Below are 14,533 nucleotides of genomic sequence, written 5' to 3'. Positions count from 1 at the left end.
TCTGGCAGTTAGAGGTAGGTCAGGCGAAACTGTGGCATGCCTGGTTCTCTAACATCCCCAAATACTCGAGCCTAATGAGTAGAAGTGCTGATGATCGTAGAGAACGGGAGAATACCCCATCCCCATCATTTTCTCTGCTCTCAAAGAAATAAAAAACTCTCCAGTATATCTACTTGAGATATAGAAAACTGAAGCCCTTAACTACTGAACAGCCTAAAATTAAATACATATTATTGCTTCTGAGAAAAAAGGATTAGGAACAGCAAGACCTTAGCTCATCACAGGGCCGATTTCACGTCTGACAGATCTCCACAGAGTCAGAATTAACGTCAGGTCACCAAGGGCGAGTCCACGCGGTCCGTATCATAGCAGGGAAAGCTCTTGAAAGCGATTTTTCCCTTGCTCCTTCACTTGTGAATAGTTGTGTATGAGGGTGTATTTCAATTTAAGTAAAAGACATATTTCTGGAAAAGTCCACATAGATGACGTTTTTGCAGAAATAGTTTAAGAGTTTTAAAAGAAAAGGGGCAATGAGATTATGTCTTGTAGGAAAGCTATGTTTAATGTTCCCCCTGCCTCCTGCCCAACCCACCTTAAATCAATGTCCACTCCAGAAGCGGGCAGTATACTAAACCAGAGTATTCCCGTTTGCTTTCCTCTGTTTCCTTAGAGCCGAGGCAGGAGCCTGGTGGAGCACACTGCTTTTGTTTCCCCTCCCTCCTTAACCATGTACCACTGGTTCCCCCAGGGCCAGCATCCCTGGGGACCTGCTGCTGCCAGGCCCCAGGCAGATCCTGTCCCTCCCTCCTCAGGAAATTGAGCAAAGAGGAAGAGCAACAGTAGCCTCCGCAGCTAACGGTAGGTGTGTGCTCCGTTTTTAGGCATACTCAGTGGCCAGACTGAGTATACATAAGGAAGTCATAGTGGACACATTAGACCAGGAGTTGGCAAACTTTACATAAACTGCCAAAGAGTAAATGTTTTAGGCTTATGGGTCATCTGGTCTCCCAATCACTTAACCCTGTTCTTATAGCAAGGAAGTAGCGAGACACAATATGTAATGAATGAAATGGCATTAAACAAAGACAAAAACAAAAAAACCCTCTATCTATGGACACTAAAATTTGAATTTTATAACTCACACATCATAAAATATTATTATTCTTTTGATCTTTTCCAGCTAGTAAAAAAATGTGGGCCGGGCACGGTGGCTCACGCCTGTAATTCCAGCACTTTGGGAGGCCAAGGCGGGCGGATCACGAGGTCAGGAGTTTGAGACCAGCCTGGACAACATGGTGAAACCCCGTCTCTACTAAAAATACACAAAATTAGCTGGGCATGGTGGTGCACACCTGTAGTCCCAGCTACTCAGGAGGCTGAAGCAGGAGAATTGCTTGAACCAGGAGGTGGAGGTTGCGGTGAGCCAAGATCGAGCCACTGCACTCCAGCCTGGGCGACAGTGCAAGACTCCGTCTCAAAAAAAAGAAAAAAAAAAAGGTATGAAAACCATTCTTTGAGTTAACCGGCAGGCAGCCATAGCTTGAGATCTCAGCATCAGACTGTGAAGGAGCAATAAGACATCCAGGGGCAGGCAAACTGCTCCATTAATTATTGTGATGGAAACATTATGCAAGTCTGACAAGGAGATAACTCTGCACCCAACAACAGCAGAATATACATTCTTCTCAAGCACACACAGGATACTCGCCAGCACAGACCATATGCTAAGTCTTAAGATAAGCTCAGTACATTTAAAAGGATTGCAATCATGCAAGTTCTATCTCCAAATGGGGATGATACTGAAAATAACAAAGAAGTTGGGAAAATTCATAAATATGCAGAAATTAACCCATGCTAAATAATCAATGGGCCACCTCCCCCCAAAATGTCTCAAGAGAAGTTGGAAACCACAACATACCAAAACTTATGGAATACAGCAAAAGCAGTGATGGGAGGGAAATTTCTACCAGTGAACACCTACACTAAAAAGAAGAAAGACCTCAAATCAATAACCTAACCCTTTATCTTAGGACACTGGCAAAAAAGGAAACTAAACCCAAGGCAAGCAGGAGAAAAGAAACAATTTAGAACTTAATAAACTGAAAAGCAATATTTTAAAAGCAACACAACCAAAAGTTTCTTTTAAAAAAATTAACAAAATTGACAAACTTTTACTTATTTTGATTAAGAAAAATAAACATCCACATTTCTAATACCAGGAATTAAAGAGGGAACATTACTACAAACCATATGGAAATAAAAATAATTAAAATACTATGAACAACTATATGCCAATAATTTTAACAACTCAGATGAAATAAACAAATTCCTAGAAATATACAAACTAGTCAAAATGAACCAAGAAAATCTAAACAGGCCTATATAAGACTGATCATCAAAACCTCCCTTAAAAAAAGCATAGGATTAGATAGCTTCACTGGTGAATTCTACCAAAATTTTTAAAAATACCTGTTCTTCATAAACTCTTCCAGTAATTAGAAAACAATTTACCACACTTTATATGAGGCCACTATTTACCTAATACCAAAACAAAAGACATCACAAGAAAGCTATAGACCTATACCTCTTTTATGAATATAGACACAAAAATCCTCAACAAAACATTCGCAAATTGAATTCCGCAATATACAAAAATGACCATGACCAAGAAGGATTTATTCCAAAAATGCAAGGCTGGTTTAATATGTGAAAGTCAATTAACATTCATATGCCACATCAATAGAATAAAGGGGAAAAAATCACATATTGTTTCAACAGATGCAGAAAAAACACCTGAGAAAATTCAACACCTCTTCATGATTAAAAAAAAAAAAAAGAAGTCAGTAAACTAGAAATAGAGGGAACTTCCTCAACTTAATAAAAGGAATCTATGAAAAACACACAAATAACATCACACAGAATACTGAAAGACTAAAAGCTTCCCCCTAAGATCAGAAAAACAAGATGTTTGTTCTTGCCACTTCTATTCAACATTGTATTGGAGTTCTAGCTAGTTTTGGCTGAGTGACTAGACAAGAAACACAAAGGTATCTGAATTGGAAAGGAAGAAGTACAATTATTGCTATTTGCATATGACATACTCTTCTATACAGAAAAGTTTAAGGAGTCCATTAAAAACTATTAGAACAAAGAAGTTCACCAAGATTGCAAGAGACAAAGCAACATACAAAAATCAATTTTTAAAATGGAATAACTGCATTGTATTTCTATACAGTAGCAATGATCAAACCAAATATGAAATTAAGAAAGTCTTAGTTATATCACCAAAAAGAAAAAAAACAGGAATAAAAGAGGTGTAAAACTTATAAAGTGGAAACTATAAAGCATTATTGAAATAAATATCTAATTAAATGGAAAGACATTCCATGTTCATGGATTTGGGGACTTAATACTGTTAATACCATAAAACTCTCCAAATTGATCTTTAGATTCGACGTAACTCTTATTAACATTAAAGTTGTTTTCTTTGTAGAAACTGGCATGCTAATCCCAAAATTCACACGGAATTGGTAAGAACAATTGAGAACAGCCCAAAAAATTTTCAAAAAGAAGAAAAAGTTGAAGAACTCACACTAACTGGTTTCAACTTAATACAAAGCTACAGTAATTAATATACTATGAAACTGGCAGCGTGGAACTACAGACATATAGCCTAATGGAATAGAAGGCTCTGAAATAAACTCCCTTATATATGGTCAAATATTTTGGACAACACTGTCACTACCATTCCATGGGGAAAAGAATAATCTTTTTAACAAATAATCTTGGGACAACTGGATATCCATATGCCAAAGAGGCAAGTTGGACCTTTACACCTCATACCACACATTAAGTTGGTCAAAGATCTACAAGAAAGAGTTAAAATTATAAAATTCTTAAAAGAATATAGCGGTGTAATTTGTTGTCACTTTAAATTAGGCAGTGATTTCTTGCATATGGCACCAGAAGCAATGGCAACGAAAGAAAAAAAGTGGATTAAACTAGATATCAAAATTAAAAACTTTTGTGCTTCAAAGGATACCACCAAGAAAGTGAGAGAATAACCTACAGAATGGGAGGAAAAAAATTGTTTTGATAAGGGACTTATATCAAACATATAAAGTCTTACAGTTCAATAATAAAAAGACAACCCAGTTTAACAATGGCAAAGGACCTGAATAGACATTTCTCCGAAGAAGATACACAAATGACCAGTAAAGCACACGGAAAGACGCTCAACATCATTAGCCATCGGGGAAATGCACATCACAACCACAATGCGGGTACACTTCACAGCCGGTAGGATGGCTGTAATAAAAAGGGTAAGTAGTGGTGAGGGTGGAAAGGAATGGGAACTGTCATGTACTGCTTGTGGTAATGTAAAATGGTACAGCCACATTGGAAAACAGTCTCGTTGTTCCTCGAATAGAGTTACCATATGACCCAGCAACTCCACTCCTAGGTATCTACCCAACAGAAAGAAAACCTGTCCCCACCAAAACTTACAGAAGAATGTTCATAGCAGCACTGTTTATAATACTCAAAAAGTAGAAACAATCCGAATGTCTATTAACTGATGAGTAAGTAACAAAATGTGGCATATCTATACTACAGAATATTATTCAGCCACAGAAAGGAATGAAGTACTGATACAAGCTACAACATGGATGGACTTTAAAAACCTTACGCTATGTAAAAGAAGTCAGTCACATACATGATGCCATTTATAAAAAATAACCGGAATGGGCCATTTTATAGAGACAGAAAATAGACTAGTGGCTGCTTAGGCCTGGGGGGAAGGTAACAGGGGTAAATAGGAAGATGATAGCTAATGGATACTAGATTTCTTTTTGAGGTGATGAAAATGTACAAAACTCAACTGTGGTGACGGACACAAAACTGTATATGCTAACAGCCACTGAATTCTCTAATTTAAATGGGTAAACTGGTATGTGAGTTAATCTCAAAAAAGCAGTTTAAAGAAAGGGGGAAGTGAAATAAAGACACTTTCAGAAGAATAAGAGCTAAAAGAACTTTTCGCAAGAGACAAAAGGAAATTTGAAGGGTCTGAGATTTTACCTGCTTGCAAACTACCAAGCTATAACTTGTTTTTGACATTTTCATGGATGCTGGCAGAAGACAAGAGTCCTCATCAGAGAAACAGTGTAACAGTCACCCCTTATCAGTGGGGGATATACTCCAGGACCCCCTGCCAATGCCTGAAACCTCGGATAAAACCCAGCCCTATATGCACTCTGATCCATCTGATAACTGAACCAGCTACTAAGTCACTAATGAGGTGGTAGCATCTATGGCATGGAGACACTGAACAAAGGAACAATTCACGTCCTGGGCAAGACACATCAAGACAACATAAAATTTCATCACCCTGCTCAGAACGGTACACAAGTTAAAATAATGAATTGGCTGGGCACAGTAGCTCACGTCTGTAATCCCAGCACTTTGGAAAGCTGAGGTGGCAGCATTGCTAGAACCTAGCAGTTTGAGGCCAGCCTGGACAACATAGCAAGACCCCATCTCTACAAAATATAAAAAAATTAGCTGGGCATGGTGGAGTACACTTGTAATCCCAGCTACCTGGGAGGCTGAGGTAGGAGGATTACTTGAGCCAAGGAGGTCTAGGCTACAGTGAGCTGTGATCACACCACTGCACTCCAGACTGGGTGACAGAGTGGGACCCTGCCTCAAAGAAAAAAAAAATTATAAATAGTTTCTAAAATTTTCCATTTAATATTTTTGGGCCATGGTTGAACACGGGTAACTGAAACTGTGGAAAGTGAAAGCTTAAAGGGTAAACGGGGACTACCGCTTTTCCTACCCACAGCAGGAGCAGCTGTCAGCCTATTAGCATTGCTTGTACCGGTTACCTGAGCCTGTAATTCCTACAGGGCAATACAAAGACAGTCAGGTAAAAACTGCTGGAACAATAGGTTACATTACAAGAAAGGATCCCTGAGCTTGGGGATCCCAAATGCTTATAATGGGCATGCCTGCCCACATCCCATCTTTATCCTACAGCGCAGTAAACAAACTTACCTATGGCCTGGAGACACTATCTTGTCTCCGAGGCTAACTGCTTACACCAACACTACTGAAAAGACAGTCCACCACAAATGCGCTCACTCTCTTTTCCAGAGACATACAGAAATGCAAAAGATCCCTGGAGAACTCTCTCCCAACAAGACCCACTCCTTGTATTTATACTGTCTCGGCTTCTGTCAAATTTCCCTCTGAGTATCCACTCCATTAGCTACTCTGATCAATCTAATACAGGCTGGAACCAAATCCACTCAATTTGTCTCACACATCTAATAAAAGCTGCTATCAACAGGACTCCAATTATCATGATGAGCCAAACTAAAATCCTGACCTTAACCATGCTTCCCGGCATCCTGGACCCAGCCAGCTAAAGCAATACCATAAAACATCAGGGTCCACCTTAGCAAGCCACGTGGCTTTCTCCTGAAGCTTCTGGACATTTCCTTTTGGTTGGGGCCACTGACACGGATAATACAAGATGTGTTAGCAATTGCACGAACTGTGTCTTGGCCCAAAGGAGGAAATCTACAGCAATCCTATCATCCATTAATGAATGCTTCCAGATGCTTTTATGGATCACTTTAGAGAACGTCATGGACAAATTTCCTACCACCATGTCTATGGCTCTCACAGTGGGGAAAGCTACTTGTAGGATGCACACACATGGTGAGTCAATGATCCCTCTGGGGGGCTGCCCCAGATACTCAAGGGTAGACTCATTTTGGAGAGTTTGCCACTGTTCTATGAGGACTACAGGATCTGATGGAGTTTTTTTCTTTACATACTCAAAGTTCTCTGATGATCACTGCTAAGGTGCAAGTCACTATGCTTCTAGGAGGAAGACAAGGGAGATAATACCTGCCCTTCACAGAGGGAGAGTGCAGTCTCAGTGTTGCATTGGTCCTGGAAAGTGCTGCTTACAATTACCAGTGAGCCCTGCATCATAGGGGCATAGGCTGACAGTGCCTTCAACAGAGCTTTCTAGATGGCTATGGCTCTTAAAGGTCTACAGCTCAGTTCAATCACTGAGTCTTGCCCTTGTTTTTGGAAGAACTGCCTGACAGTGGTCAGTCCAATCTATCCTGTTTGCCTGCTCCACCAGTCAGGTGGCACTCATCTGTGCCATGGCCATGAGTATGGGTGGGCAGACAGCCAGAGGTGCTAGCAGGTGTTCTGTGTGGCAGGTGCAGGCGCTGGCACCATCCCCTGCTGCTTCTGATAGAATTCTCCGCATGGGTCAAAGGAATGCACCAAATCGTCACCAGAGTGGTCTGGCAAGGAGGAATGGCAGATCTGAAAGCTTCACTTCAGTCCCTTGCAAAAATCTGGGAGAACCACACCAGGGCTTTTTCATCCCTGAGGAAGGCTCTAGGGGTGGTTCTGAATGACAAGGATCATTAATGTTCCCTGTCCCAGAATTTCCCAAGGTGTAATGCACTCCCCACTTCCCTAGGTACTAGCATTGTTGCTCTCCTTCCACCAGGACAAAATTGTATGTTTCCTATTTCGGGAGCTATTTTCACCTGTTTACCAATGATACCCTACTCATACCCAGCCCTTCTGTAAGCAAGGGCCAGATGCAAGAGGGACAAGGCAATTTTAGGTCGCTTACACAGATTGATTATGTCCTCCATTTTGACCAATGCGGGCCCCACAGTCATGGTAACATCTCATGGGTTATCACGTGGCTTTAATGGAAGGGCCAGGGGAGAATTTCCCAGAGCAGTGGAGTGGACGGCAAGAATGTACGTCAACTTGTTTGGGTTAAATTTCTCACTCTCCAGTGGGTCATCATCATTAGCATTGGAAACCTCATCTGGGGCAGTAAGAGCTGGAATACTAGTTGATGATCTTATTAGACACTAATATTTTCCCACAGGTGTTTGTCTATGTCAGGGTAATCTTCGACAGGGCTGCACATCCCTAAAGCTGCCAGGGTCCACTACAAAAATAATTAAGCCTTTTACTGTCATCTACCAGTGCATCTGAGGTTGGCAGGACCAGTGCTGGAAGAGCCAACCATGTGGCAACCTAGCTGTTAGCCTTCTGCCTTAACAAGTCCCACCCCTTCTTCTCCCAAAAGAACCAGCCAACATTCAGATGAAACAATTTGCCTGCTTTCCACCCCTGGTGGTTATCAATTTCTCTCCTTTAACTGTTTGAAAAGGGTCAGAACCATCTGCCCACCAAAGGGTGAAGACATCCTCCCACCCAGAGAAGAATTAGCAATAACCAGGGCATTGTTTGGGCAGCTGTGTTTAAAACTATCTCCCCAATTTCCCCTCATTAGCAGGCAGCAAAGTGAAGGACCATTTATCACTAGGATAACAATTTGGTCAACATGTCAGCTACAAATCCCATGGATTTTCCTAAAATCTCACCCATTGACCCATGAGACTCCCATCCTCCTCTTTGAGAAAAACCACAAGGAGGACAGAAGCTAACAAGTGAGCTTGCCACAATTTCAAGAACGCTCACAGACGACAAGAGACTCTTGAGTCATGGATCAATGTGAACTGGGAGCAAGCGCAGTACCCAGGGTACCAACATGTTCCTGCTCCGGTGTGCTGTGCCTCAGTCCCCAGAGGATGACACCTCTGCGTGCAATGGACGATGTCACAGGAGCAGAACCCTGAGCTTAAAAAGGCAAACTTTTATGATGGATAGTGAGCATGCCTGCTCCAGCCTCTGGCAGGAGAAATGACTTTTGTCTTCTCTATGAATGTCCTTGAAAAAGTAGTCTAGAAGAAACACAGCCAGTGCACTGCTTGCAAAAGGTGCAGAAATGCAGAAGACCTATGGAGAATTGTCTCCCAACAATTTCTGTCATGAGAAACACTAATGAAAATTATTTGGGCTGAAGCAAAATGGTACCGATGGAACCTCAGATATACAGGAAGAATGAGAACCAGAAATTGTGAATAAATATAAATACTCATTTTTTGTTTCTCTTAATTTTGTAAGACAGTGTAATAATGTTTAATGCAAAATCCCAAAAACACTATTGTGGGGTTTATCATATGTAGACAGAAAATATATAACAATAGCACAAATAAGAAAACTCAATTGAATTATACTGTTACAAGATTCTTCTGCTTTACATAAGGTGGTACAACAGATTTTTATCATGCATTTCAGAAGCATCTGATACCTTTATTTAAACCATGAAATGCCAGGTCTCTCCCACAGAATTTCTGAGGCCCGGGATGCAGCCTGGTAATTCATGTTTCAAACAAGTTCCCATTCGATGCTGAGCCTGAGTGATTACTCAGAAGCACTACTCTACAACGATCACTAAAAAAAAGGCAAAAACAGAAACCATAATAATATCAACAAGTATAACTAAAAGCCATTAGAGAATTATAACGAAATGTCAAATTTCAATAATATTATTAGCCAAAGAAAGTGGAAAAGAGGAACAGAGGAACAAAAACCAAAAAAAGAGAACTAGAAAAAAATAAAACACTAGACCCAAATCAAACCCTATCAACAATTATACTAAATGTAAGTGGACTGAGTGCTCCACTTAAAGGGCAGAAATCATCAAAATGGATTAAAAACACACACACACAGAACCCAAGTACATGCTATCTACAAATGATGCCACATAAAGACACAGATAAGTCAGAAATAAAAGAATGGTAAAAGAAAATGCTATGTAAATAATAATTTAAAAGATGGTGTTTCAAGAGAATGAGAAGACAAACCACAAACTGCAAGAAAATATTTGCAAAGGACTTATCTGACAAACGGCTGTTATCCAAAACAAAGGTATCTTAAAACTTAACAAGTGAAACTGATTTAAAAATGGGCAAAAGACATCTCCCCAAAGATGACATACTGATGGCAAATAAACATGAAAAGATGTGCCACAGAATATGTCACTAGGGAAATGCAATTAATACAACACTGAGATACCACTACACATCTATTGGAATGTCCAAAATCCAGAACATGACAGCAAATGCTGGTGAGGATGTGGAGCAATAGAAAGGCCCACTCCCTGTTGGATGGAAAGCAAATGGCACAGCCACTTCGGACAACAGTTTGGCAGTTTCTTACAAACTGAAACATACTCTTACCATATGATTCAGCAATCACGATCCCTAGTATTTACCCAAGAAAGATGAATGAAAACTTATAAAAACTTTCCAAACAAATATTTATATAGTAGCATTACTCATAATAGCCAAAACTTGTGAAGCCATCAAAATGTCGTTCAGTAGGTAAATGGATAGGTAAGTATATTGTGGTACACCCAGACAATAAAATACTATTCTGCACCAAAAAGAAATGAACTATCAAGCCACAAAAGGACACAGAGGAACCTTAAACATATTATTGCTAGGTAAAAGACGCCCATCTGAAAAGGCTACATACTATATGACTTAAACTATACAACATATTGTAAAAGGCAAAACTGTGGAGACAGTACAAAGCTCACTGGTTGCTAAGAGAGGGTAGGAGGAAACATAAAGGCAGAGCACAAAGGATTTCTAGGGCAGTGAGACTACTCTGCATGATACTAGATCCATGTTGTTATACATTTGTCTAACCCATAGAATGCATAACACCAAGAGTGAACCCTGATGTAAACTAAGGACTTGGGGTGATGACGTGTCAATGTAGATGCATCAAGTGTAACAGCTGTATCACTCTGGTGGGGAATGCTGATAATGAGGGAGGCTGTATGTGTGTAGGGGCGTGCGAGAGGGTATAGGGAAATCTCTATTTTTTCAGCCCAATTTTGCTGAGAATTTGAAACTACTCTTTAAAAAAATAGTCTATTAAAACCACAAGGCCAGGTGCAGTGGCTCATGCCTGTAATCCCAGTACTTTCGGAGGCCGAGGCGGGCAGATCATCTGAGGTCAGGAGTCCAAGACTAGCCTGGCCAACATGGTGAAACCCCACCTCTACTAAAAATACAAAAAATTAGCTGGGCATGATGGTGGGCTCCTGTAATCCCAGCTACCTGGGAGGCTGAGGCAGGGGAATTGCTTGAACCCGGGAGGCAGAGGTTGCAATGAGCCAAGATTGTGCCACTGCACTCCAGCCTGGGCAACAAGAGCGAAACTCTGTCTCAAAAAAAAAAAAAAAAAAAAAAACCCCACAAAAAAGAAATGGAAATATTATAACTACTCTTAGATATCAGGAGACTCTCATGAAACTAAATTTATTTTTTCTTAATGCTGGTGTTTACCGAAGTAAACTTCAAGAAAGCATTACAAGACATAAATAGGGACATTTCTTTATTATAAGGTCAATTTATTAAGATGCTATAACAACCCTAAACGTGTATTCACTTAATACAACAGCTTCAAAATATATGAAAGAAAACTGACAGAACTTAAGGGAGAAAGTAATCCACAAACTCAGTTGAAAATTTTAACATCCCTCTTTTAGTAACTGATAGATATATAATTCACTAAAGACTTCAACAGCACTCTTAATCACATTAAACTAAGTGATATTTACAAAATGTTATATCCAACTGTCGAATGTATCTTTAAATCACTTGAAATATTCACAATGATAGACCACTTGGTAAGCCATAAAATAAGTCTCAATAAAAATTTTAAAAGAGTGAATGGAATATCTTACAGGTTATGTTCTCTGACTGCAGGGGAGTTAGACACCAATAACAATATCATATCTAGAAATAAATAAGCAATTAGTAAATTTTTCTAAATAAACCATGAGTCAAAGAAGAAATCACACAAAAAATGTTAGAAAATACTGTGGGATCCAGCTAAAGCAATGTTCACAGGGAAATGGTGCCTTTAAATGTTCACCTTAGAAAAAAATAATTATCTAAATTTCTACTTGAAAAAAACAGAAAAATAAACTGCACCCAAACTAGTAGAAATAAGGAAATAATTAGGAACAGAAATAAATTAGAACAGCAATACAAATAACAATTAAAAAGCCAAAAGATGCTTCTTTGGAATATTATTTAAATTGATATAGCCCTAAGTCAAAACAGTCTGGAAATAAAACACACACTACCAATATCGAAATATAAGAGAATAACACTACAGATCCTACAGACATTAAAATAACAAAATATTATGAAAAACATTATACCAATAAATTCATCATCGTAAAAGTAGACATGTTCCTTGATAAATACAACTTGCCAAAACTGACACCAAGATGAAACAGAAGTATGAATATATACATATATGGCTATTTTACACATATAAAATTGTATATAATATACATTAACATATTAATTTATAATATATTAAAATGTTACACACACACAAATTTCTCCCAAACCTCTACACACACACACATCAAACCCCAGATGGCTTTGCTGGTGAATTCTATCAAACATTTGAGGAAAAAAAATACCAATTTTATAGAAATCATTTCAGAAAATGAGAGACTATTTCCTACTTTGCTTTATGAAGCCAACATAATCTTAAAAAAAGAGGTAGATAAAAACAGTAAATTATGGACCAATATCCCTCAAGAATACAGATGTAAAAATCCATATTAAAGTATTAACAATCTGACATCAAAGATATAACCAATTAAAATGTCATGATTAAATGTGGCATATCTCAGAAATGCAAGGTTTACAAAATCAATATAATCCACCATACTATGAGAATAGAAGAGAAAAGCCATATTTCAATAGATGCAATAAAATACTGCTGAGAAATTACAAGCCTAAATGAATGTAAAGACAGTCCATGTTTACAAATTAAAAGAGCAAATATTAATATAAAATTTCCCCCAAATGCATCTATAGATACAACACATTCCCAAAAATAATCCTGGCAAGCTTTTATGTGGAAACCAACAAGATGATTTTAACATTTACAAGGAAAGGCAACAAACTTGAAAGGCAATCCAAAGCAATCTTGAAAAAGAAGTACTAAGTAGGGCTCCTACAACCTATTTCAAGATATAACATCATAAAGCAACAGATTTCAAGGAAAAGCAGTACCTGTGTAAGTATCTACAAAGACATCAATGAAACAAGAGAGCACCAGAAATAGATTTTCATTTATGATTCTAAATTACACAACTGATTTTTGATTACAAAGATCCCCAAGAAATCTATTTGGTCAAGTTTTTTGGAAAAATGTAGCTGGGATACTGGATATCCATATGTTACCAAGTGAACCACAAACTACGATATACACAGAAGTTCATTCAAGATGCATTACAGGCCTAAGTATAAAAGCTAAAGCGATGACGTTTTTAGAGCAAACCAACGTCATCCTTGTGACTTTGGGGAAGGCAAAAGTTCCTCAGGTCACAAAAAAGCAATAACCAGGAAAGAAAGAAAATTGATTTAAAAAAAGATTTCATTAAAAAAATTTTAAACTTCTCATCAAAAACAATGTTGACGGGGACAGATTGTGAGGACAGAATAAATAAGAAAAAAAATGTTGAAAGATGTACAAACAAGCCATAGATGGGGAGATAATATCTATGAAACACCCACTCTCAGTACCAACTTCTGTCTTGGTCTATTTGGACCACTATAACAAAATACCTCAGACTGGGTAATTCATAAACAATAGAAATTTACTGCTCACAATTCTGGAGGCAGGGAATTCCAAGGTCAAGATGCCAGCAGATTCAGTGTCTGGCGAGGGCCCATTCCTCACAGATGGCACATTTTATGTGCCCTCACGTGGTGGAAGGGACAAAGAAGCTCTCTTGGGCCTCTTTATTAAGGGCACAGATCCCATGGTGGCGCCCTCATGGCCTAACCTCCTCCCAGTACCATGATGGCACTGCGTTAATCCCCAAGTGTCAAGATATGAATTTTGGCAGGACACAAACATTCAGAACACAGCATTCTACCTCTGGTCCCGCAAAATTTACGTCATTCCCACAAAATTCATGTCATTCCCACATGCAAAATATATTCATTTCATCCCAATAGCCCCTAGTCCCTAAGACCTATAAAAAGTTTCTAGAATAATGAAAAGACCAAGTATAATTAAAATGTTGGCAAAGATTTGAACATATACTCCCTAAAGTATATGAATGTGTAGTGAGCACATTAAAAAGTGCTGAATATTTTACTTATCAATTAAACATTTTTTGAAGTGATGAATATCACACCGTTCATGAGGGAAATGCAAATTAGAAGCACAATAAGTTACAACTACATGCCCATCAGAATGGCCAAAATGAAAAAAATATCAAAGGTAAGCAACTAGGACATTCATACATCGTTGGTAGGATTTTAAAATGGGACAGCCACTTTGGCAAAAGGTCTGACAGCATTTTATAAAACTAAATACATACCTACCCTGTGACCCAGCAATCCCCAACCTAATTACCCCAAAGGAATGAAAACACATGTCAGCAGAAAGACTTGTACAAAAATATTTATAGGAGCTCTGTTCCTAATGGCTCCAAACTAGAAACAGCACACGTTTTCAACAGGTGACTGACCAAACTGTGGTATAAATTATCAAAAAATACTTTGTAATATGATTCCAT

The 14,533-nt window shown here is 38.7% G+C and overlaps 1 protein-coding gene across 8 annotated transcripts in view; it reads right to left on the bottom strand.

The window, feature by feature from the left end:
- Positions 1–14,533, bottom strand: part of CDYL (chromodomain Y like) — a 249,407-nt gene that overhangs the window by 64,826 nt on the left and 170,048 nt on the right. The window contains exon 1 of one of the 8 annotated variants that reach the window (XM_047419564.1): positions 270–679. The exons of 6 other annotated variants lie outside the window; for them this stretch is intronic. The gene's annotated coding sequence lies outside the window, so the exon portion shown is untranslated. Of the gene's footprint in view, positions 1–269; positions 680–14,533 lie in introns of those variants that run through there. One more of the 8 variants, NM_001143971.2, reaches the window with a different exon arrangement.

Source organism: Homo sapiens, chromosome 6 (assembly GCF_000001405.40).
Source record: "Homo sapiens chromosome 6, GRCh38.p14 Primary Assembly".
Lineage (NCBI taxonomy): Eukaryota > Metazoa > Chordata > Mammalia > Primates > Hominidae > Homo > Homo sapiens.
This window is presented reverse-complemented; position numbering and strand designations above follow the sequence as displayed.